The sequence below is a fragment of the Homo sapiens genome, chromosome 1 (assembly GCF_000001405.40).
Source record: "Homo sapiens chromosome 1, GRCh38.p14 Primary Assembly".
Lineage (NCBI taxonomy): Eukaryota > Metazoa > Chordata > Mammalia > Primates > Hominidae > Homo > Homo sapiens.
The window spans coordinates 237,071,614-237,098,453 of NC_000001.11; the positions used below are offsets into that span (position 1 = coordinate 237,071,614).

Sequence of the window (26,840 nt, forward strand, 5' to 3'; positions counted from 1 at the left end):
ACTCTTACTCTGTGTTGGGGATTCCACTGGGAACTGGCCCCCTGGCCCCCAGGCTTCAGGTCGTGCCTGGCTTGAAGGTGAGGCTTCACCAGGGACCTACCCCTTCCTGCCTAGGAACCTGTTTGCCCCCTGTGGCAATCAACATTCTGTCCAAGATGCCCAGGCTGTGCACACCGAGGGGTGCCTGCCGAGCTGCTCTCAGCCCCACCCGGCTCCAGCCTTTCTCCCTGAGCTTGAAACTCCCCCAGAGTTTCAGAGGGGGATGAGGCGGCGGGGGTGCTGGTGTGTTATCGCTGCCTTGAGCGTGGGTATACAGCTGGCCAGGTCGCGATAGCGCCCGGGCTCGGCTTCTACTTTACTCTGAAATTGGAGCAGGCACTGGAGGTGGGGAATGGCCAGGGAGCAGGCACTTCTGACCCTGCTGGGGGAAGAGGGTGTCCTGGGCCCCCAAGAGCACATGGATGCCCAGGTCTGGAGCCATATCCAGGTGGCTGCAGCTGTGCCTGCAGCATGGGGCTCCCGTTCTGACAACTCAGCAGGGCACGGGGGTCCTGCTTGTTCCTCGTGCCCTCCGGCTCCATGGGGCATGCCGCCCCGGTTGTGCCTCCCCCGCTGCAGCTGGCATCCCCACAGTGGCTGCTCCAGAGGGGCCACCGCCGCCATCACTGGGATTACAGGCATGAACCACTGAACCCGGCCTGTGCAGCTTTTGAGATCAGTTGCAGTTTAGCAAACTCCACTTTCCACTGATCAGGGTCGGCTTCCAGGCATTGAGCGGATGGGCAGAGGAGATGAGAGACAGATGAAGAGAATACTCCCAGCAAAGGGGCAGAGACAAGGAGACATGAGCTGGTCTGGAGAGCAAGGGTTCATTAGAGATTTTTTCTTTAGTGCACCAACCAGCAAGGGGGAAGTGAATGCCAAAAGGAGCTGTGGGAGGTTTTCTAGAATGTCAGTTATAAAGCTACTTGTTGCACACATAAAATGGATTTGGAAACTCGTATTTAATCTTAAAAAAAATCTTTTAGTGTTTGCCAGAGCATTTTAATCTGAAAATATTTAAAAATACTCGCCTGTAATCCCAGCACTTCAGGAGGCCGAGGCAGGTGGATTACATGAAGTCAGGAGTTCGAGACCAGCTTGGGCAATATTGCGAAACCCCGACTCTACTAAAAGTACAAAAAATTACCCAGGCGTGGTGGCAGTCACCTGTAATCCCAGCTACTTGGGAGGCTGAGGCAGGAGAATCGCTTGAACCTGGGAGGCAAAAGTTGCAGCGAGCAGAGATCATGCCACTACACTCCAGCACGGGCGACAGAGCGAGACTCCATCTCAAAAAAAAAAAAAAAAACAAAAACTCATCTGTTAGTATAACTAATGCTCCAGGAAGCTGCCACATATTTACCTCAGGACCTATTTCTATCTTCGCCCCACCGCACGCTGAACTAGACACTTAAGGACCTAGTGTAGAGGACTATGAAGAGGATTGTTATAAGGAGTTAAAGGCTAAACCTGATTGTCATTTTAAGGAATTTGGATTTTATCCTGGAGTCTTTAGTTGATTGACTATTTGACAAACATCTACGGAATGCCTGGTTTGTGGTGGGTGTTGAGAATACAGATAGGGGCCCTGCTTTGGATGGGCCTCTCTCTCGAGCAGACAAGGAAGATCGTGCCAGGTAGTTGAATCCATATACAACGTGGACCACACAGGTAGTGAGAGTCAGCAAGGCCAGAGGCGAACCTCATAAGACAAAGGGGACCACGTAGGAAGTCACTGTCCTGCTCTGCATTTGAAATAAGCACTGTTCAGAGCCCCGCTGTCCAGTATGGCAGCCACTGGCCATGTGTGGCTGTTGAATACTTGAAATTTGGCCCCTCTGAGTTGAGATGTGCTGCAGGGGTAAGATGCATACCAGATTTCAAAGACCTATCATGGCAAAAAGAATATAAAATATCTCATTAATAATGCTTCAGGGTGGGCACTGTGGCTTATGCCTGTAATCCCACACTTTGGGAGGCTGAAGTGGGCGGACACCTGAGGTCAGGAGTTCGAGACCAGCTTGGCCAACATGGCAAAACCCCGTCTTCACTAAAAATAAAAAAAATTAGCTGGGTGTTGTGGCATGCACCTGTAGTCCCAGCTACTCAGGAGGCTGAGGCATGAGAATCGCTTAAACTTGGGAGGCAGAGGCTGCAGTGAGCCAAGCTCATACCACTGTACTCCAGCCTGGGCGACAGAGACTCCATCTTAAAAAAAAAAAAAAAAAAGCTTCAGTAGTGATTGATTACATGTTGAGATAATATTTTGGACATATTAGATTATACAAAATATATGGTTAAAATTAATTTCACCTTTTCCTTTTCGTCGTATTTTTTTTAACCATGGCTATGAGAAGATTTAAAATTTTTTTGTGTGGGAGCCCTAAATGATGGCTCATGTCTGTAATCCCAGCTACTCAGGGGGCAGAGGCAGAAGTATTGCTTGAGCCTAGGAGTTTGAAACCAGCCTGAGCAACATAGTGAGACCCCATCTCTAAAAAAATGAAAATAAATTAGCTGGGTGTGGTGGAACGTGCCTGTATCCCAGCTACTTGGGAGGCTGAGGCAGGAGGACCATTTGAGCCCAGGAGTTCAAGGCTGCAGTGAGCTACGATTATGCCACTGCACTCTAGCCTGGGTGACAGAGCAAGATCAAGGCTAGGTTTCAAAAAATAGATTAAATAAAATTGTATATGTGGATAGGCTATTGGGCAGCACTGCCATAACCTACGTACTAACTGTGAGATGGGGAAGAAAAGGATGACTCCTTGGGAGGAAGATGCGGCAATGGGAGGACACTGATGGATAGAGGCTGCTTTACACCTCTGAGGCCTCAAGCAGGATTCACCATGATGTCATCTGCATCCCTCCAAAGTCACCTGCTTTTGTCTTATTGCATAACTTGTTTCAAATGTTCTGCCACAACCTCCCCCAGCCCAGACATATTCATGATGTTCTTTTATGATTAGTCAGTCACCACGGGTAGAATGTGTGTTCCAGTGCCACATCAGGGATGACTTATGCAAACCCAAGATGGCCCTTTGGCTTAGTCCTTCTTCGCCCAGTGTAAGAGTCTGTCTTGTGCCTGGACACTGAAGACTGGGGGAGGGCAGTCCATCAGAGATGATTCAGGCGATGTTACGTTGGTGTGACTGGAACTATTGTTATATTATTAAACGGTAGAGGGGCCATCCTGGGCAAGAGTTGATTTGCAGGTTAGGTTGATGAGTCACCGATTTTGAAGCTGGTGTATGTCTAGGTAGAAATACTGAACATGCAGCTGGATTGTGCAGCCAGGTCTCGGAGAGGGATCTGGGCTGATTCCACATGTTTGGGAGCTATATTGATAGAGAAAAGGCTGTGGGAGTCACCCCATGTTTAGGAGGGCAGAGACCCAAGCGCTGAACCCACTCTCATTCTCATGTAGGTTTTATGCTTGGATATCACTGCGTGAATTTAAAATCTGAGCCTCTAAGCAACATTTTGGAAAGCCTGTTTCATAGTTCTGCTTATGCAGGATTTTCTGCCTTTTTTTTTGGCCCATGCATTTTTCTCTATGCTTAGAGGGGGAAAAATATGAGAAGAAAGTGTGTTGGAAAGAAAGTCTGCGGGAGGAGCCAAGATGGCCGAATAGGAACAGCTCCGGTCTACAGCTCCCAGCGTGAGCGACGCAGAAGACGGGTGATTTCTGCATTTCCATCTGAGGTACCCGGTTCATCTCACTAGGGAGTGCCAGACAGTGGGCGCAGGCCAGTGTGTGTGCGCACCGTGCGCGAGCCGAAGCAGGGCGAGGCATTGCCTCACCTGGGAAGTGCAAGGGGTCAGGGAGTTCCCTTTCCGAGTCAAAGAAAGGGGTGACGGACGCACCTGGAAAATCGGGTCACTCCCACCCGAATATTGCGCTTTTCAGACCGGCTTAAGAAACGGCGCACCACGAGACTATATCCCACACCTGGCTCAGAGGGTCCTACGCCCACGGAATCGCGCTGATTGCTAGCACAGCAGTCTGAGATCAAACTGCAAGGCGGCAACGAGGCTGGGGGAGGGGCGCCCGCCATTGCCCAGGCTTGCTTAGGTAAACAAAGCAGCCGGGAAGCTCGAACTGGGTGGAGCCCACCACAGCTCAAGGAGGCCTGCCTGCCTCTGTAGGCTCCACCTCTGGGGGCAGGGCACAGACAAACAAAAAGACAGCAGTTACCTCTGCAGACTTAAGTGTCCCTGTCTGACAGCTTTGAAGAGAGCAGTGGTTCTCCCAGCACGCAGCTGGAGATCTGAGAACGGGCAGACTGCCTCCTCAAGTGGGTCCCTGACCCCTGACCCCCGAGCAGCCTAACTGGGAGGCACCCCCCAGCAGGGGCACACTGACACCTCACACGGCAGGGTATTCCAACAGACCTGCAGCTGAGGGTCCTGTCTGTTAGAAGGAAAACTAACAACCAGAAAGGACATCTACACCGAAAACCCATCTGTACATCACCATCATCAAAGACCAAAAGTAGATAAAACCACAAAGATGGGGAAAAAACAGAACAGAAAAACTGGAAACTCTAAAACGCAGAGCGCCTCTCCTCCTCCAAAGGAACGCAGTTCCTCACCAGCAACAGAACAAAGCTGGATGGAGAATGATTTTGACGAGCTGAGAGAAGAAGGCTTCAGACGATCAAATTACTCTGAGCTACGGGAGGACATTCAAACCAAAGGCAAAGAAGTTGAAAACTTTGAAAAAATTTAGAAGAATGTATAACTAGAATAACCAATACAGAGAAGTGCTTAAAGGAGCTGATGGAGCTGAAAACCAAGGCTCGAGAACTACGTGAAGAATGCAGAAGCCTCAGGAGCCGATGCGATCAACTGGAAGAAAGGGTATCAGCAATGGAAGATGAAATGAATGAAATGAAGCGAGAAGGGAAGTTTAGAGAAAAAAGAATAAAAAGAAATGAGCAAAGCCTCCAAGAAATATGGGACTATGTGAAAAGACCAAATCTACGTCTGATTGGTGTACCTGAAAGTGATGTGGAGAATGGAACCAAGTTGGAAAACACTCTGCAGGATATTATCCAGGAGAACTTCCCCAATCTAGCAAGGCAGGCCAACGTTCAGATTCAGGAAATACAGAGAACGCCACAAAGATACTCCTCGAGAAGAGCAACTCCAAGACACATAATTGTCAGATTCACCAAGGTTGAAATGAAGGAAAAAATGTTAAGGGCAGCCAGAGAGAAAGGTCGGGTTACCCTCAAAGGAAAGCCCATCAGACTAACAGCGGATCTCTCGGCAGAAACCCTACAAGCCAGAAGAGAGTGGGGGCCAATATTCAACATTCTTAAAGAAAAGAATTTTCAACCCAGAATTTCATATCCAGCCAAACTAAGCTTCATAAGTGAAGGAGAAATAAAATACTTTATAGACAAGCAAATGTTGAGAGATTTTGTCACCACCAGGCCTGTCCTAAAAGAGCTCCTGAAGGAAGCGCTAAACATGGAAAGGAACAACCGGTACCAGCCTCTGCAAAATCATGCCAAAATGTAAAGACCATCGAGACTAGGAAGAAACTGCATCAACTAATGAGCAAAATCACCAGCTAACATCATAATGACAGGATCAAATTCACACATAACAATATTAACTTTAAATATAAATGGACTAAATTCTGCAATTAAAAGACACAGACTGGCAAGTTGGATAAAGAGTCAAGACCCATCAGTGTGCTGTATTCAGGAAACCCATCTCACATGCAGAGACACACATAGGCTCAAAATAAAAGGATGGAGGAAGATCTACTAAGCCAATGGAAAACAAAAAAAGGCAGGGGTTGCAATCCTAGTCTCTGATAAAACAGACTTTAAACCAACAAAGATCAAAAGAGACAAAGAAGGCCATTACATAATGGTAAAGGGATCAATTCAACAAGAGGAGCTAACTATCCTAAATATTTATGCACCCAATACAGGAGCACCCAGATTCATAAAGCAAGTCCTGAGTGACCTACAAAGAGACTTAGACTCCCACACATTAATAATGGGAGACTTTAACACCCCACTGTCAACATTAGACAGATCAACGAGACAGAAAGTCAACAAGGATACCCAGAAATTGAACTCAGCTCTGCACCAAGCGGACCTAATAGACATCTACAGAACCATCCACCCCAAATCAACAGAATATACATTTTTTTCAGCACCACACCACACCTATTCCAAAATTGGCCACATAGTTGGAAGTAAAGCTCTCCTCAGCAAATGTAAAAGAACAGAAATTATAACAAACTATCTCTCAGACCACAGTGCAATCAAACTAGAACTCAGGATTAAGAATCTCACTCAAAGCCGCTCAACTACATGGAAACTGAACAACCTGCTCCTGAATGACTACTGGGTACATAACGAAATGAAGGCAGAAATAAAGATGTTCTTTGAAACCAACGAGAACAAAGACACCACATACCAGAATCTCTGGGACGCATTCAAAGCAGTGTGTAGAGGGAAATTTATAGCACTAAATGCCTACAAGAGAAAGCAGGAAAGATCCAAAATTGACACCCTAACATCACAATTAAAAGAACTAGAAAAGCAAGAGCAAACACATTCAAAAGCTAGCAGAAGGCAAGAAATAACTAAAATCAGAGCAGAACTGAAGGAAATAGAGACACAAAAAACCCTTCAAAAAATCAATGAATCCAGGAGCTGGTTTTTTGAAAGGATCAACAAAATTGATAGACCGCTAGCAAGACTAATAAAGAAAAAAAGAGAGAAGAATCAAATAGACACAATAAAAAATGATAAAGGGGATATCACCACCGATCCCACAGAAATACAAACTACCATCAGAGAATACTACAAACACCTCTACGCAAATAAACTAGAAAATCTAGAAGAAATGGATACATTCCTCGACACATACACTCTCCCAAGACTAAACCAGGAAGAAGTTGAATCTCTGAATAGACCAATAACAGGCTCTGAAATTGTGGCAATAATCAATAGTTTACCAACCAAAAAGAGTCCAGGACCAGATGGATTCACAGCCGAATTCTACCAGAGGTACAAGGAGGAACTGGCACCATTCCTTCTGAAACTATTCCAATCAATAGAAAAAGAGGGAATCCTCCCTAAGTCATTTTATGAGGCCAGCATCATTCTGATACCAAAGCTGGGCAGAGACACAACCCAAAAAGAGAATTTTAGACCAATATCCTTGATGAACATTGATGCAAAAATCCTCAATAAAATACTGGCAAACCGAATCCAGCAGCACATCAAAAAGCTTATCCACCATGATCAAGTGGGCTTCATCCCTGGGATGCAAGGCTGGTTCAATATACGCAAATCAATAAATGTAATCCAGCATATAAACAGAGCCAAAGACAAAAACCACATGATTATCTCAATAGATGCAGAAAAAGCCTTTGACAAAATTCAACAACCCTTCATGCTAAAAACTCTCAATAAATTAGGTATTGATGGGACGTATTTCAAAATAATAAGAGCTATCTATGACAAACCCACAGCCAATATCATACTGAATGGGCAAAAACTGGAAGCATTCCCTTTGAAAACTGGCACAAGACAGGGATGCCCTCTCTCACCGCTCCTATTCAACATAGTGTTGGAAGTTCTGGCCAGGGCAATCAGGCAGGAGAAGGAAATAAAGGGTATTCAATTAGGAAAAGAGGAAGTCAAATTGTCCCTGTTTGCAGACGACATGATTGTTTATCTAGAAAACCCCATCGTCTCAGCCCAAAATCTCCTTAAGCTGATAAGCAGCTTCAGCAAAGTCTCAGGATACAAAATCAATGTACAAAAATCACAAGCATTCTTATACACCAACAACAGACAAACAGAGAGCCAAATCATGGGTGAACTCCCATTCACAATTGCTTCAAAGAGAATAAAATACCTAGGAATCCAACTTACAAGGGATGTGAAGGACCTCTTCAAGGAGAACTACAAACCACTGCTCAAGGAAATAAAAGAGGACACAAACAAATGGAAGAACATTCCATGCTCATGGGTAGGAAGAATCAATATCGTGAAAATGGCCATACTGCCCAAGGTAATTTACAGATTCAATGCCATCCCCATCAAGCTAGCAATGCCTTTCTTCACAGAATTGGAAAAAACTACTTTAAAGTTCACATGGAACCAAAAAAGAGCCCGCATTGCCAAGTCAATCCTAAGCCAAAAGAACAAAGCTGGAGGCATCACACTACCTGACTTCAAACTATACTACAAGGCTACAGTAACCAAAACAGCATGGTACTGGTACCAAAACAGAGATATAGATCAATGGAACAGAACAGAGCCCTCAGAAATAATGCCGCATATCTACAACTATCTGATCTTTGACAAACCTGAGAAAAACAAGCAATGGGGAAAGGATTCCCTATTTAATAAATGGTGCTGGGAAAACTGGCTAGTCATATGTAGAAAGCTGAAACTGGATCCCTTCCTTACACCTTATACAAAAATCAATTCAAGATGGATTAAAGATTTAAACGTTAAACCTAAAACCATAAAAACCCTAGAAGAAAACCTAGGCATTACCATTCAGGACATAGGCGTGGGCAAGGACTTCATGTCCAAAACACCAAAAGCAATGGCAACAAAAGACAAAATTGACAAATGGGATCTAATTAAACTAAAGAGCTTCTGCACAGCAAAAGAAACTACCATCAGAGTGAACAGGCAACCTACAACATGGGAGAAAATTTTCGCAACCTACTCATCTGACAAAGGGCTAATATCCAGAATCTACAATGAACTCAAACAAATTTACAAGAAAAAAACAAACAACCCCATCAAAAAGTGGGCGAAGGACATGAACAGACACTTCTCAAAAGAAGACATTTATGCAGCCAAAAAACACGTGAAGAAATGCTCATCATCACTGGCCATCAGAGAAATGCAAATCAAAACCACTATGAGATATCATCTCACACCAGTTAGAACGGCAGTCATTAAAAAGTCAGGAAACAACAGGTGCTGGAGAGGATGTGGAGAAATAGGAACACTTTTACACTGTTGGTGGGACTGTAAACTAGTTCAACCATTGTGGAAGTCAGTGTGGCGATTCCTCAGGGATCTAGAACTAGAAATACCATTTGACCCAGCCATCCCATTACTGGGTATATACCCAAATGAGTATAAGTCATGCTGCTATAAAGACACATGCACACGTATGTTTATTGCGGCACTATTCACAATAGCAAAGACTTGGAACCAACCCAAATGTCCAACAATGATAGACTGGATTAAGAAAATGTGGCACATATACACCATGGAATACTATGCAGCCATAAAAAATGATGAGTTCATATCCTTTGTAGGGACATGGATGAAATTGGAAACCATCATTCTCAGTAAACTATCGCAAGAACAAAAAACCAAACACCGCATATTCTCACTCATAGGTGGGAATTGAACAATGAGATCACATGGACACAGGAAGGGGAATATCACACTCTGGGGACTGTGGTGGGGTCGGGGGAGGGGGGAGGGATAGCATTGGAAGATATACCTAATGCTAGATGACACATTAGTGGGTGCAGCGCACCAGCATGGCACATGTATACATATGTAACTAACCTGCACAATGTGCACATGTACCCTAAAACTTAGAGTATAATAAAAAAAAAAAAAAAAAAAAAAAGAAAGTCAACAAAGGTCTGAGCTACGGACTCGATGTACCTACATTTGCTTTGGTTCAGGATCCACAGGTTTGTGCCCCTCAGTCCCCTTGTATGGGTACCCATGGCCCACACTTCAGGGAGGGCCAGGTTCTAAAGGGACAACCAAGATCCACAGGAGGACCCTGTCTTTCTTTATATATGTATATACATATATAAATACACCCCCCACATATATATATATATATACATGCATGTATACATATATATCATAATTTAGACATTTCTCATGCATTTATGTTCCAGATATGTGTTACATATATGGCACACACACACATACGCACACACTCTCTCTCTCCCTCTCTCTGTCTCTCTCAATATTCCATCCCAATGACCCATCCAGCTGGAAAGATGGTTTTATTGGCTTTTATCAGGAACCTCGCCCTTCCCAGGAGACTTACCTCATTTATATGGATAGGAGGCAGCCATTCCAGCCTAAAGAAACAAAACCTTTACTCATGAAAAGTCTTCAGTTTCTCCTGCGGCATGGCCTTCCTGTCCTAGCTGCATCCTCAAACTCTTCTTTCTTTTAAGGGTGAGCTCCACCAGGCACTACTTGGCGATGATCCCTGGGAGGCAGGAGACATCAGCACCTGTGCAAAGGGAAAGGCTAATTACTCCAAGATAACTGTGATTTCTTAATGGGGAGAAGAACTTGGTGGGCAAAGACCTCTTTAGAGATGAAGGTTTCTGTCCTAGTGACACCCTGTGTCAGCGAGGTCCCCAGGGAGAATCTCAGTTTGCTATGATCTGGTGCTGATAAACATTAACTGATTAAACTAGTGGCTGACATTATTGATCATGTACTGTGGGACAGGTCCTATTGTAAGCAGCGTTCATGTTATATTAACTTATTGACTCTTCACAGGATCATGTGAGGTATGGGAGGTTAAGCCACACAGCTCATCGTTTTGTGCCAGAACTTAAAACCTGTGTCAGAGCCTAAGCACTAAGCACTAAGCATGACTCTATTCTGCTATTAAGACAAAGTCCTTTTGTAGGAAGCCAATGATGATGAGCAAAGATGGCGGACATTTTTAATGGTCTGGAAATGAAGTATTAAAATTGCTATTGTCGATGCACCTTTGTATTAATTTGTTGGTGCTGCTTTCATGCACCTGATAACTGCCTGTTATCTTGATGGAATTAAAACCCCTGTGTTATATTCTTTCAAATAGGAAAACATATATATATATATATATATATATATATATATAAAATCGGATATAAAATCAGAGAGTAAACTGCCTCTTATAGCCGCCCCTCCTGCAGTCTTCTGTTTCCAAGTTCTCAGTACCATAAGGTTAACCCACGAAGCCTTGGCTAAGCAGATGTGTGTGGGCTGAGTGCTTGTTAGTTTCTGTGAGTTTCTTCTATATGTAACAAGTGTTAAATTGGACCCTGCTAGTGTTAAGATTCTTTATTTGAGCAATTTAATAGGGAAAGTTAGGTGTGAATACACGTTTTCAGTCTCACCTGCAGTGTCAGGTGATGTTAATTCTTTGATCTCCTTGCTATTATATCGCCTTGCTATTCTTATAAAATACTAGAGAAATCACTAAAGCCTGATTAATGTTTAGTTTTTGTGGAGCAAAGACTTGGAAATTTTTAACAATTTCCCCGACGATTTACTTTCTGTAAGCCCTTGCACACTTTCTTCTTTATAAATGTTTATAGTGACTTGTTGCCCGTTCAGAATTATAGCCTGGCCCTGCTTCTGGGATGCAGTATGGGCCCACTGTTGCCACAAGTCCCCTTTCAGAAGTTACAGAGAGCCATCAGCAGTTACCCTTTTCAACATTCATTTATTTGAAGACTAGGGAGTAGGAGGAGAAAACCCTCTAAGTGTTCTCTGGCAGTTTGGTGCATGCTTTGAAGTGAGAGAGAAAATTCCTCACGACCATGTAGAAGTTTCCCGATAAATTTATGTTCAAGTGGTGGCATTTGGGCAGCCAACAGCCAGATGAAAAGCCCGTGGAATCCCAGGATCTGGTATGTGCTTAGTGGTTCTCATGCCATGCCACTCTCAGGCAAGCCAGGTAACCCTCCCTCAGCACTTCTAGCCTTTCACTCGGGGATCTCATGCAGAATTTAAAACAAAAAACATGGGAGGGCTAAGCTCCTTTTTTGATAAATTGCAGAATGCCTCTTTATTCCACAGTCATCTCTCCTCTCTGCTTGTGTTGGTGTATGAGCTTGTTTCCAGATGGTTCAGTGGGACTGAGAATGTGAACTGATGAGGCAAGTATGTCTGTGTCTTTCTGGGGAGAGAAGGAGATAGTGGGCTATTTACAAACATCTGCAGGTCTTCCTTTCAGAGACAACAAAGCAAAGTGCCCTTTAACTGTGCTCCTCTATTTCTCTGCCCCAAAATGCTAGACACAGCAGTGGTTTATTTACCCACTGCTTCTTATATTACTGGCCTTACCACTCACTGAAATGGCGCTGAAAGATGACCAGGGAGCTCTCAAATGCTTTCCCTCAGTATTCATCCCCTTAAACTTCCCTGGAGGATGTGGGACTTTTGTCCACTTAGGCATGAAAATCCAGTGTGTATGTTATGCCCACGGCACACCTCAGTGCAGATCAGCCACATTTCAGGTGTTCTGTGGACACACGTGGCATATGGCTACCATATTGGACAGTGTGGCTCTGAAGAGTGATTATTTTATGACCCACCTCTGTTCTCCCTGGGCCTCTCTTGGTTCTCTCACTGTCCAAGTGTGAATGCCTCCAGAGTTTGGTCCTCGGTCCTCCATCATCTGCCCCCACATTCCATTCTCCTCTTTGAAGATCTAATTCACAACCACAACAGGAGCTCACCGTGGAAAGGACATTACCCCAGTGCCTCATACCCATTTTCACCTGGATGCTCATGGTATTTCAAATTCGGCTTATCCCAAAGCAAATCCATCTGTGTCAAGCTGGCTTCTCCACTTTCATCCATGCATCTTTCATTTTCCTGACTTCTAATGCTCCCGCTAATGTTATAAAGCAGTTAACAAGGCAATCAGGCTACATAAGCAGAAATCTGTGAATACTAAGACCCGCGAGCTGAGGGTATTATGGAAATTGAATGGCACTTGTAAGAAAGCCGAACATGTATAATGACGTACATAATTCTTATAGGCAGCAAGGTGACTAGGCATGTCTAGTTATTCATGAACATTAAGGTTGTTATTGCTTTAATTCACAAGCAGAGCAAGCGTTTTGGGTAACAGATGGAAAGGCGGGGGAGGGGTAGTTTGTGGCCCTCAGTCCCCTCCCTGATGCCAGGAGGAATTGAAGCTTTGCTTTCATCATCCCTCCTCCCAGCTGCATTTCCTTGGTGCCTTCACTGTTCCCAGTGTCACTGGTTAGGGAATAGTCCTTTGCTTTTGGCCAGGCATTTCTTGAATGTGCTAGTCCCTTTTTAATTCTCTAAAAGGAGAATTAAATTAAAAGCTGACTTGGGTCCCGACCTAATGTGGAGTTAACTGCTAATTTCACCCTCTGTGCCCATGCAGGAAGCATGAAAGTGCCTGATTGAAGGGCCGGGGCCGGCCCTCTTGTATACATACCCTGGTCTCAGAGAGCCTGGAATAACCTTGCCGACAGAGCTGTATTCCCCCAAATGCTGAATAATGATAGGAAAGCACCAAATTCACATCGGCTTTTTATTTTCATTATTTCTTATTTTAAAAGTAGGTTATTTCATTGAGTTATCTTTCCACAAAAACTACTCAAGGGTGTGATTGCCGTTTATGTTCATTTTGTAGCATGAGTCGTGAAATTTGAAGTGCAACAGATATTTTAGTTTCTCTATAGGCTTACGTAGTAGAGTGCATCCAATTAATATCAATTTAAAATTGATCTCCAGGGATATTAGGGTAGTGTTTACAGTGACTTATTTCTTTTCCTAATAGAACTATTTTATAAAACTTTAGTCATTTCAGCTACTGGGATGGAACCGTGACTTATCAAAAGGAGTCAAGTCTTTGGAGTCAAAAATATCTGAGTTTCAGTTATTGGTTCTACTATTGGAAAAGTTACTCTTGTCTTTTGGAGTCCCTTCCCTGTTGCATAAAATAAAATCTACCCCATCAGATAAAATTCTTAACTTGCTCCGCATGTGTTAATTTCCTCTCTACTGTTCCTGGAAGCTGGAGGAGGAGAAGGGAAGCAATGAGAAAGATCAGGAGGCTGAAGCCACAAGGGTATACAACAGCTGTGATTTTAGAAGAGTGTAATTGGGTGCACGTGTGTGTTTAATCTATTTGATTAGATTGCTTTCCTAATATCAAGAACCAAGAGCATTTGAGGTGAACTGCCCCATTACTTGATCTCAGTTGGAGGGGCCTGGAATCCTGGGAACTTGAGGGGGAGAAGAGAGCTATTCAGACAGGGATAGGAAGATCAGTGAGGCACCTGCTTCTGACTTTTTTTTTGAGAGGAGGTGTCCCTCTGTCACCCAGGCTGGATGGAGTACAGTGTTATGATCACAGCTCACTGCAACCTCCGCCTCCCAGGCTCAAGTGATCCTCCCACTTCAGCCTCCCAAGAAGCTGGGACCACAGGCGTGTGCCGCTACGCCTGGCTAATTTTTTGTATTTTTGGTGGAGATGGGGTTTCACCATGTTGCCCAGGCTGATCTTGAACTCCTGAGCTCAAGCGACCTGACTGCCTTGGCCTCTCAAAGTGCTGGGATTATAGGCGTGAGCCACTGCACCCAGCCTGCTTCTGACATTTTAGCCTAAGGCATGCTCTGTTAATGCCTGCATTAGTTTGCCTGAGCTGTCATAACAAAGTACCACAGACTCATTGGCTTAAACAACAGACATTTATTTCCTCATAATTCTGGAAGCTGGAAATTCAAGATCAAGGTGTTGGCAGGGCTGGTTTCTTCTAAAGCCTCTCCCCTTGACTCTTAGATGGCTGTCTTTTCCCTGTGTCCTCACGTGGTCTTTCCTCCATGTATCTGTGTCCTAATCTCTTCTTCTTCTAAGCTCACTAGTCATATTGGATGAGGGCTCACCCTCATTTCCTCATTTTAACTCAGTCACCTCTTTAAAGGACCTATCTCCAAATACAGTCACATTAGAGCTTTAACATACGAATTTTGTAGGAGGAGGGACACAATTCAGTCCTTAACCCTTCTTGTCTCAGTGGACAAGATTTTTGAACTTTTCTGTGTTTCGGGTTCATCCTTCCCTTCTTCCCAGTCTGTTACCTTTATCTTACTATGGTGTTATGATGGGGAGGAAAGGAAGGGTGCTGACCTCAACAGGGAGCCAGCATATTGCTTAACTAATCCAAGCCAGGGCTTGCATGGAGGATTTTTATTTCCCACAATATCATGGGTACCCTGTGCAGGGTGGTGAGGGGTGCTGGGTGGGACCATATCACTTTACTTCGCGATGCTGGAAGTGTTTGGGCTTTGGGAGGAAAGGTCACAGGCAGCGTTATGGTTTGAGTATGTAGAGATATTGGGCCTTCACTCTCCAGCTGCAGTAGAACGAGGTTGGCAAACAGCAGTCAAACTTATGCTTTTAAATGAGATAGAGCTGATACTAATGGACAAGTTGGTGCTATCCCCGGAGGAACATGAACTGCCTGTATTTGAGTATGTATATGTCTGCAGCTCTCGGATTATAGTGTTATGGCTTGTTGTGCCAGAGAGTTCTTCTCTTTTCAGGCTGCATAGAATATTTTCATGGCCACTGACCTTGAGAAAGCAATTCTCAGCACGCGCAAGTGAAAGGCAGGAGGACCCCTTTCACAGTAAAGCTGGGATTCCCTGAAGGAGGGACTGCATTCGGGAAAACTTCCAAATTGCTGAATTTCTTTTCTTCCCTCATTAGTTGCTGGTGCTTCCAGATGGCACCTGAACCAGCATCTGGGCCAGGAGAATAGCATCCTAGCCAGTCTTCACTCACTGGGCTTGGTTTTCGTGTGTGTTTGTAGCAACTCTGTTACATTTTTTTCTGTTTCCAGGTTCAATTCCAGGTTTAGGACATACTGCTCATTTCACTTTCCTCTCCTCCTCCTCCTCCTTCTTTGTTGCTCACCTGGTTACCTACCATGATGAATCATCTGATTTTATAGCCTACCAAAATCAGGATAAAAAATGTAAATGTTTTTGTTTAAAGGGAGATGCAAAATGTGAGAAGTATAATGAGTAATGATTCACTCTTCAAGTACTATTTGAGGAGGTAGATTTATTTCTAATGCCAGATGCACCAAGACATGTTTCTTTTCTTTGCAGCCCACAGAGATGTCAATAAGCAGAAAATGGCATTCGTATATCTTGTTAGAAACCAAGTGCATGGAAGTTGAATTTATCAGTGGATCTCACCACATTCTCGAATTTGAGATGTTGGCAGAATTGGTGCCCCTCTTGGTGTCTGGGTGGCCAGCCTGGGTTTCTCCTCCTACATTCCCCCCTCCACAGTGGGGCTTGGATGTGTTTGTAAAATGAGCCTTAATAAAAATGTGAGAAAGTCTCCATTTAATTTTGTGTGATTTTCATCTCAGAAGTTCTCGCATTATTTGGAATAGAGAAAACATCTTAGATCACTTTAGATAGATGGTATTCAACACAATTAGTTCTCTGTGCATGCTGGGTTAAGTCATTGGTATTTGTGCCACCCATTTGGCATTTGCTGGCACCAGCTGAGAACTATGTCCTGTACCTTTGAATTTAGAAATGAAATGCTGACTGCACTTGCCATTTCTGCCTTTGGAAATTAATGTAATATTGGATATATGTAATATTGGATACTATTGGAAATTAATGTACATGGAAGACATGATACTCCTTGACTGTACTTTTTTTTTTCCAATCCCAAGTGGCTTGGGGCTAGCCAGCTGTAAAGGCGTGTAAAGCATGCATGTCTGGCATGTTTGCATTTGTGGATTGGCAACCCTTGGTACGTGTGCCAAACGCAGATGGTTAGTGAGGTCCTGGCCATCTCCACGCTCCTGTGACCACCACTCATGAATCTCAGGAGAGATAAAGAGAGATAGGATGCAAGGGCTTGGCTACCTGTGCTTTTCTTTCCTTTTTCTACTTTCCTTGCAAGACTAAACCATATTTACAAGTTCCTTCAACAAATGTGTAAATGTGTATTGGATGCCTCCTGGAAGTTGTGTACTGGAATCAATGCTTTTCGCAATTTATTATCTCAAACTCCTGTGCCCTATGAGACAAAACAAAATAAAAAACAAAAGCCAGGGGCATTGGTGTTGTACGTTTCTTTTTCTAAGTTTGCTAATCTATGATTTATCATTCTTCCATGTTTTTGAGTTCATTACTTGGCTTAGGATTAAACCAGGGATTCAGAAATTGTCCTGCATTGGTTTTATGTTGTAGAAAATATTCGAGGGGTAATGTTAAGTTTTCTACCTACAAAATACATTCTTTCCAGCCTTGTTTTTGTGGTAGGTAATCCTTTCTCATAGTACTTAGACAGTTTAGGTTAAGTTGTCATGTGAAGGATACAAGATATGGCTCATAATATCTTACCTTCAAAAGAGGCAAGGACAGTATTCAGAGACAACATTTTATTTAATTTCAGTTGTTTCCAGTACTTACAAAGCCAAAATAACCCTTTCTTGCCTGAGTTTCCACTGTAACAGGAGAAGCCTTTTCTATTCCCGAATAACAAACCAAACCCACATGGGTCCCATAGATCTGGACCTCTCATTCTTAGATTAAAAATAGCTCCAAATTCATGGAAAGGCACCCTCTGGTTTTTTGCCCTTTGCACCTGCTGAGTCTCACCTTTTAAAAACCTCAGACCTCTCAGGAAATTCCCTGCCAATTACATCCATTTCATCTGCCTCCAACTTAACCCATTCTCAGTGTGGGGGTAACTGTATTACATAACGGAGTTCAGATTAATTTTTCTTACACATAAATGAAGAAAGCTAATATCTAGGTAGGCCTGTTTGAGAATAAGCAGAGCCTTTTCTTCCCATTCCTTTAATTGTTAGATTTTAAAATGCATTTCCAACTAAGATAGTAGTGTAGAAAAGAATAACCATTTCTTTCCATATACTGTTTTATTCCTTTTGACTACATTTATTATAGGAAATTATTTTTTGTTCAGTCTAGTACTAGTTCAGATATGTCCCTAAGAAATAGTGAGTCAGTAAGAGGTAACCATCTAGCCACATGATTTTAAAGAAATCAGACACTGAGAGTGAAATTAAACTAAAATGTATCTTGTCAAGTTTATATGTGACCTCACATTTATTGCCAGCCTCCCTTGAGGGATACAGTGAAATCCACACTACTTTTAGCCAATAGAATTGTATGTTATCTTGTTAAGAAATATGAAAAGGTAAATAGTCTAAACTGGTTTAGAAAAATAAGTCATGTTCCTTTTAGCTAATCCCAGTGTATCCCACGTGATGCTGAAATGCAAAATGCAAGTGGAAAACTTCAGTTGGTGGGAGTATATAGTGAATTTTTAAGTAATCTCTGGTATTTCAGAAGATTATTCTTAGATAGTCTGCAGAGATGAGTTTATAAGGCTGGTGTGGTCGGCTGAATAAGGGCCTGTATTAGTCCGTTCTCATGCTGCTATGAAGAAATACCCGAGACTGAATAATTTATAAGAAAAGAGATTTAATTGACTCACAGTTCCACATGGCTGGGGAAGCCTCAGGAAACTTACAATCATGGCAGAAGGCACCTCTTCACAGGGCGGCAGGAGAGAGAATGAGTGCTGAGTGAAGGCAGGAAGAGTCTCTTTCAAAACTATCAGATCTCTTGAGAATTCACTTACTGTCACCAGAACAGCATGGGGGAAACCGCCCCCATGATTCAATTACCTCCCACTGGATCCCTCCCATGCTATGTGGGGATTATGGGAACTACAATTCAAGGTGAGATTTGGGTGGGGACACAGCCAAACCATATCAGGGCCCTCCATGGATGTCCATATTCTAATCCCCAGAACCTGTAAATATGTTACTTTACATGGCAAAAGGGACTTTGCAGATGTCATTAAGTTAAGGATCTTGAGATTATCTCGTGCGGGGGCAGTGTAATCATGAGAGGATTACATGAGGGAGGCAGGGGGATCAGAGTCAGAGGAGATGTGATGATGGAAGCAGAGATCAGAGACAGTTGAAGGTGCCACATTGCTGGAAGGCCAGGAACCAACAGATTTTCCCCTAGAGTCACTAGAAGGAGTGCAGCCCTGCAGAACCATTTTACTTTAGATGTCTGACCTCCAGAACTATAAAATAAATTTGCATTGTTTTAAGACATTATGTTTGCAGTAATTTGTTACAGCAGCAACAGGAAACTAATAAAGGAAACTAATATAGGAATATAGGAAACTGGCATATACTTTGGGTGTCCTTGGTTATAAATGACTGAATGACTGACTGTCCTCCCTGACCTTCAGGTGAAGTGTAGTCTGGCATTTGATTTTTGAATGCAAAACAACTTCAGTTGCAGAAAATTCACGAGACTCTTTTACTGGGCCAAGGGTTTCAAGAGGAAGGCTCTGTTTTGAGAAGAAGGTTGGCATGAAAGTTAAAGGTTCAGTAGCTACTATGTCACATGTACAGTTGACTTGAGAATATTATCCCATGTGCATTACAAAATATAGTAATTTTGTAATAAGTTAAACCAGTTAAATGAAAATTATGTACTTGTGTTTAATGTCATACATTTATTTTTGGAACGACTTTCACATGACATTTGTGTAGAGTAAGAGCTTGGTTTGGTGAAGGAGTGTTACTATTCTGGAGGAAGATAACAATATAGGTTGAATTAGATGGTTAACTTTGAAAATGTGGCTTGGGACATGGACTGAATAGAAAAAAGCCTGGGATCAAACACCCCTGCTAACTACTGGGGGGTTCTGTGAACACCCAGAAACACAATTGGCAGCTCTTACAGCGTGAACTTCACCATCAAGCAGGTTGTTTCAGGATTCTGACTGAGGGATGGAAACTTTCTCTTGTAACCTGTCCAGTGAGCTTAGCATCCCTTAGGAAATGACTTACCCTAAGGAGGGTGCCATTCCCAAATCTCTGTTGGTCTGGAATTCAAACTGTAGAAACACCAGGGACTTTTCTTTCTTTTTTTTGGGGGGGGCGGGGGGGGATAGGGTCTTGCCCCATTGCCCAGGCTGGAGTGCAGTGGCACGATCTTGGCTCACTGCAACCTCCGCCTCCTGGGTTCAAGCAATTCTCCTGCCTCAGCCTCCCGAGTAGCTGGGATTACAGGTGTGCGGTGCCACACCTGGCTAATTTTTGTATTTTTAGTAGAGACGGGGTTTCGCCATGTTGCCCAGGCTGGTCTCGAACTTCTGGGCTCAAGTGATCCCCCCGCCTTGGCCTCCCTAAGTGCTGGGATTACAGGCGTGAGCCACTGCACCTGACCCAGGGACGGTTCTAAGACCTGTTCTTTAAATCCTAAACCTGAACTCTGATTTCTCCTTCCTCTGAGTCCTATCCTTGCCCTTTAAATTCCAGGCCTGTGCTGCCTAATGTGGCAGCCACCAGCCAGAGCATTCCTAGACTGAAGGTGCCCTGGAAGCAGAAAGCACAGCTTTTGATACCAGGGTTCTTGGCTGAGAAGATGGGAATATGCAGAGAAGAGCAGAGAGTCAACAGGGGATGGGTTAAAAATGGAGAGATGTTTTGATAGCCATATGTTCATTATTTCTTTTATTTTGTCCTGTTTCTTCCTAGCTCTCTCTGGTCTTGATTTGACATACGGATACAGCTGGAATGACAATTACCTAAATATACTAGAGCACCTTTATAATACTGATTTCAGAGGGAAAGCATGTTGAGAGAAAAGATCTACCATAAGGATGCGTTGTATAATGGGCTGTAGTCTGCCCACCCTTGGGTTAACAATGGGTTGATGTTACCTGGTGTGCCGTGTAGAGTGGTGTTAAGGTCAAATAAAGGAATGTAAAAGCAGGCTGAAATATCCTTAGGTACGCTCCAGATGGCCATTTTGATGCCTTATGAGTCCCTCAAATTAAAGAGTGTTTGTTTCCTTGAAGGAGACCCTCTGCTATCTTCTCAGGCTTGGTGTTTGCTCTTATGTGACTGTCTGTGCTATTCTGCCATGTGAAATGTCCCATTTGAAACCATGTTATTTTAAAATATATGTAAACATTGTTTATATATGTGGTATACTATACAGATCACAGATAGTCTTTTTTTTTTTTTTTTCCTTTTTTTTTGAGACAGAGTCTCACTGTCTCTCTGTTGCCCAGGCTGGAGTGCCGTGGTGTGATTTCGGCTCACTGCAACCTCCGCCTCCTGGGTTCAAGTGATTCTCCTGCCTCAGCCTCCCGAGTAACTGGGATTACAGGCATGTGCCACCATGCCCAGCTATTTTTTGTATTTTTAGTTGAGATGGGAGTTTCACTATGTTGGCCAGGCTGGTCTTGAACTCTTGACCTCTAGTGATCCACCTGCCTCATCCTCCCAAAGCGCTGGGGTTATAGGCGTGAGCCACCGTGTCTGGCCAAAGATAGTCTTATTATTATTTCAAAATCTAATTCAACTTGCTTCCTTCACAGCATTTCTTGGATAAATCCCACATAGCAGAATTGCCTTCTCCCTCCACATGCAGAACCTCACTTTGCTGAGGCCGGAGCAGCAGTGTGTGGGCGTATATGGGTGCTCTGTGACAGTGCTGTCCCGTAGAACTCCCGGTGAAGATGGGCATGCCTTATGTCTGTGCCATCCAGTACCACTAGCCACATGTGGTTATTAAATTCTTAAAGTGTGACGCGTTTCACCAAGGAACTGGATTTTACATTTTATCTAATTTTAATTAACCCAAATTTAAATACCCACAGGAGGCTTGCAGCCACCTTATTGGACAGCAGTGATTCCATAAGATCATCCAAGTAGAGGGAATAACAAGCCGAGAACCTGATGGGAGGCTCCCTGAAGGACATGTTGTAGTGACATTGGCTGGGACACGACCTCAGAAGCCCATAGTGATGGTGGGCTAGGGGAGGAGCTGAGAAGAAACTGAGACTTTCAGGAAAACTTGAGAATAGAAATAGAGGGCAGATGATTTATTCATGACATGGAGCTGCCCGGGCAGTCACCTGGGAAAGAGATGTCAAATATGGGAGATCAAGGACAGCACAGAGGAACAGTGACAGGAGCAGGAGCCCCAGGGGGCTTCTGCAAGAGAGTCCAGGCTGACCCTGGCCTGGGCTCAGGTGACTGGAAGAGAGCAGTTTCATCCCTGAGGACTTAGACCTTTGTTTCTCTAGGACCACAGGCTCTGGATGAAGTGATCAGCCCTGGATGGAGGTGGAAGGAGAAATAAGCATTGAGCGGAGGGAGTTAGGAAAATCTCAAGGACCCTTAGAAATTGGATCTTAATGAGCAGCTAGAGTATTGGCAGGCGTGGGATCCCAGAGGCCAGAGAGATTAATCGATTCTTTTGCTTAGTGAAGTTAACAGTGATGCTTTTCCTGTAATTGAGATAATCTGTGTGCGGCCTGTGTTTCCTGGGGTTCTTCTCACGCTGCTGTGAATTAGGCCACCTTGAACAGCTGACTGAACGTGGCAAACCAGAGTGGTGCAGCGCAGGCTGTGGGCAGAGAGTCGAGGGGAAGCAGGAGTCCTGGGTATTTGGACGATGGATGCCTGAACCCTAGGCAGTGGCGACAGGAAGAGAGAAGGCAGGCAGCTGGGAGAGCAGGCCCGGAGCCTCTGTTTGGAAGGGCCAGTGGGGCAGGCGAGCTGGCCTGACTCCCTTCTTCGAGTCCTCCATTTCGACCTCTGTGCCTTTGCACAGATACATCTGGCTTTACAGATAGAGGTGTTCCTGGAAAAGGAAGTCAAATGAAACAGGAAAATCTATGTTCAGCTTACATGCACTTAAGGGGAAGCTCGCTATATGTAGGAAGCCTGTGGTTATTGCTAATAATTGCCACCAATTTATTGGTTCTATGGGGGCTCAGTTGTACCGTAGTTACACTTTAACTTCCTCTTTCTGTAGGATCTGTAAATGCTCTTAGGCGTTTTTAAAAGTGTGTATCACTCACCCACTAGGTAATGAAATCCTTATAAGCAAAAACCATAGTATCGTTTCTGTTTTTTTGGGACGGGCAGGGAGGATACTGTTTCTCCATGCAATCTTTGAATGCGAACATGCTTAATAAATATTGATGGACAGAAGTGACTTAATTTTTATCAAACTCTTCACAGTTTTATGAATGCATCATTTGTTTTGTCTTTATAAATATTATTATTATTATTTTTTGAGACGGAGTCTCGCTCTGTCGCCCAGGCTGGAGTACAGTGGTGCGATCTCGGCCCACTGCAAACTCCGCCTCACTGCAAGCTCCACCTCCTGGGTTCACGCCATTCTCCTGCCTTAGCCTTCCGAGTAGCTGGGACTACAGGCGCCCACCACCATGCCCAGCCAATTTTTTGTATTTTCGGTAGAGACGGGGTTTCACCGTGTTAGACAGGATGGTCTCAATCTCCTGACCTCGTGATCCTCCTGCCTTGGCCTCCCAAAGTGCTGGGATTACAGGTGTGAGCCACCGCACCCGGCCTTGTCTTCCTAAATATTATTAACAAACAACCCAAGCCTTCATATATCAATTGCTTCCTGGATGCCTTGCCCTGTGCTAAACATAGTGTGTGATTTATGTCATGTAAACCTCCAGCAACTTTATAGATGGGACTGAACTTTATAGATGTGACTTCTGAGGCTCAGAGAGGTTAAGTAATGTCTTCAGGTTATCGTTGCAAATTAAAATGTTGAAAATAAGACCATACATATGGTGAGCCTTTTCTCCCTTCAGTATTTTTTCCTAAAAGTGTTAGAGACAACAAAGGGCAGAGGGCATGTCAAAGGTATCTAAGACAAACTTTCTTTATTGAATCAACTTTGTCTTGGCTTCAACTGTGAAACTTGGATGATGTAATCTAGGGTTGGGTACCGTACATTTCTAGTCTCTGGGTCTTCCACTGAACACTGCTGTACCACACGCTTCAATGGTAGAGGGTTTCATGGCAGGGCCGTGCAGCACTGTTGTGACATAGACAATCTGGAAGTTACAGAACAACCACCCTCCCACGTATTTACAAAAAGTGTAACATTTCACTGGGATCGTGTCTGAAAGCACTCTGTAGCTGAAAAGTGCTATACAAAGCCAAAGGGTTATTTATCATAATTTTAGCTGACAGCAGCACTGCCGACATCTCTTTCTCACTCAAGGGAAGTACCCACAAGGCAAGCTACAGAGCATCCCCCTAGCCTGGTGACTGGAGATCAAGGAGCTAACCTTCAGTGTTCCGTCTGTGAGGAACACTTGCCATCTGTGAGGTTTTGGGAGATGCTGACAACCATCCATTTCCACAGAGTGGTCCCAGCTGGGGAGATTATATGCAAAGGAGACCTCTCAGAAAGCAAGGTGGCATGTAGTGGGCATGTGATAAGCTACTCACTGCATGGCTCAACATGGCTCAGGCAACAACTCAGGCAAGAGGATTCTGCAGAAAGAGAGATGGATGTCATCAGAATAGGCGGGGAAGTGGACTTGTGGTTGACCTTGAAGTCTGGGCATTCCAGGCTGGAGGGACAGCCTGGGCCCTGAGAAAACCACCTTCCACTGGAGCCATTCTACTAGAATAGTTTTCATTTCTCATGCAGAGGTCTGGTCTTCAAATAAATGATTCTGAAAAATTGGACTTAGAGACTATCACGGGAAAATGATGAAGGTCATAGCCTCTGGGATCCTGAAAATTGTTTGGGACTTTTATAGACTTTCACAGTCCTGGATTTCTGGGTGGGAGGAATAAAAACCGGATTGGACAGTGTCGTCCTTCAACAGAAGAGGCCTGACGTTAAGCAATGCCCTATTTCAAATACTTTCCACTGCAGAAAGAGTGCTGTCCAATTGCCAGTCTGGGAAATCTCTTCCTGGGCTTGTTTTGTTTTGGGATTAAATCACATGGAACTCTTTTCTTCAGCTCATGTTGTCATACTTGAGACACTGCTATTTCTTCCCTTTTATTTCTAAATTGTGAACCTTCTCCTTTTGTTTCAACCTAGAAATGTACACTTCTCGTTAATTGTTCTTATGAGAATGGTTTCTTTACAGCAATAGGTGGCGGATAACAAGACTGGAAACTTTGAGTACACAGGACCACACTGGTTTCAGTTCTAATTTTCCTAAGTGGCTTTGCTGAGGGAGGCAATATACATTGGTATATATTGGTATATATTTGGCAAGGGAATATACGTTGGTATCTTATTTTTCTAACCATAGTAATGGTATCTGGAATTGTTGTTGGCTTTTAGGCTAAGCCATTCATTATTTTTAACCTTCAGAAAAAAATTTGAAGATACTTAATTATAAAATAAAGGCTGCTCAGATTTTACCACTTGGACAAGAGATGAAAGTTCCAGAAGAGTACAAACTGAGCTGCTCTGGCATGTTCGGAACCTGTTTTCTATGACATAGTTGGTAGAGAGCAACATCTCATGCCCCCTATAAATCTGTGTGGGTGTGTCCAGGAGAGCTTGCCTCCTAAATTGTATTGAATTAGAAATCCTGCACCTTGAAGCAATTGGAATTGGTCTGTCCTGCAGGTCTTCTGTTGGAGTAGAGTCCCAAGAGAAAGCTGTGCAGTCGCCCATGTGATTTTAGTCTATTTTAGTCTTGCCTGTTTTTTCAAAACCTTACTGAAATTGGGGTTGACTAATGGCCTCCTTAAAATTGGATTTATTTTAGCTTGAATATGTATTTTCTCTTCTTTTTCAACTTCTAGATGGCATATATTCCAATGAATATGATTCAAATATTCCAATGCAGTACAGGATCCAAACTATGTCCCTTTGGTAGAGAAATAAATAGAGAGTGGAATTCTTTAGAGCTGCCAGATTGACCTTTTCCATCAACCACTAAACTGTCTGAAAAATGGTACAAATGGTACAAAGATTTAAGACCTTGAGTTAAAAGGGGGAAGAAACTGAGCTATATGAGTTAAAAGATCCAGGAGACTCTCTCCTGTTTGGTTGCTCATTCTTGTGTATTAATTTTTAATAAGGAAGTGAACCCCAGATGACAGAACTGATTTTCTTTTATTGGGTGACGGTTGAGATCTCCTATTGCTTAAATCAGGTTAAATAAGAGAGAATGCTGCTCTGTAAGTCTGGCCTCTGGGTCTCTGGTATATTTACAAAGATTTAAACGTAATACCTATTCCTGTTTCTCAGGCATCCTCATGACACCATCTTCCAGTATAGGAGACCAAAATGGATAAGATGAAAGCAAAACATCTTGTGTAATGCAATCAAAGCAACTTTAATTTTTTGGTTTCTGGCAAGGAGGATATGGGCTTAAGTAAAATACTCCATTGCACCGTTTCTGGGGATTTATGTTTTTAAACCAAGTATAATAATATTCCATGTACATCCACTACCAGTGATATTAGCTATTCCCAGTCCGTGTCACCCCCAGGGATGGAGTGGGCTGGAGACCTGGGGAGGGAGAAATCAAGCCTCATATGCTGTGATGTCTTGACAAGTGAGTGCCCCCAATCCTGTTGGCATTTGTGCTGCAGGAGTTTGGTTGATCAGATTTGTATTTTAGATAAATATATTAGGTCACAGTTTGAATTTCAAATTGCATGTCCTTTGCCATTTTTCTTTATTAAAATGTATGCATTAAAATTGTTATGCATGAAGACAAATATCAAGATTGACTGATGTTTTCCTCCCTATTAATTTCCCGTAGGAATGGTAAAAATGCAATTATTCATCTATGAAAATGGTGTTTAAGACCTTGAAAATGAAGAGAATTTGGAAAGCCACTTGTGCCATAAAATTTCTGAACACAGAAACGGGCCAGTGATTCAGTCGATATTGATTGATTGGTTGATTGATTTTAATTTCTTCTCCAGCTTTATTGAGGTATAATTGACAATTAAAAATTGCATATACTCAAAATGTACATATGATGTTTTGATTTCATTGTGAAATCTTTACTATAATCAAGCCAGCTAATATATCCATCACCTCACATAGTTGCCATTGTGTGTATGTGTGTGTGTGTGTGTGTGTGTGTGTGTGTGTGTGGTGAGACACTCAAGATGTACTGTCTTAGCA

General features: G+C 43.4%; 1 protein-coding gene across 18 annotated transcripts in view, besides 1 other annotated feature; it reads left to right on the forward strand.

The window, feature by feature from the left end:
* Nucleotides 1–26,840, forward strand: part of RYR2 (ryanodine receptor 2) — a 791,805-nt gene that overhangs the window by 29,430 nt on the left and 735,535 nt on the right. The gene's annotated exons all lie outside the window — the stretch shown is intronic.
* Nucleotides 3,834–4,499: an enhancer, noted in NCBI's record as "OCT4-NANOG-H3K27ac-H3K4me1 hESC enhancer chr1:237238747-237239412 (GRCh37/hg19 assembly coordinates)". NCBI's record gives its function as "activates a minimal SCP1, AML or CMV promoter by ChIP-STARR-seq in primed H9 embryonic stem cells {active_cell/tissue: H9 hESC(primed)}" and the evidence as "EXISTENCE:reporter gene assay evidence [ECO:0000049][PMID:30033119]".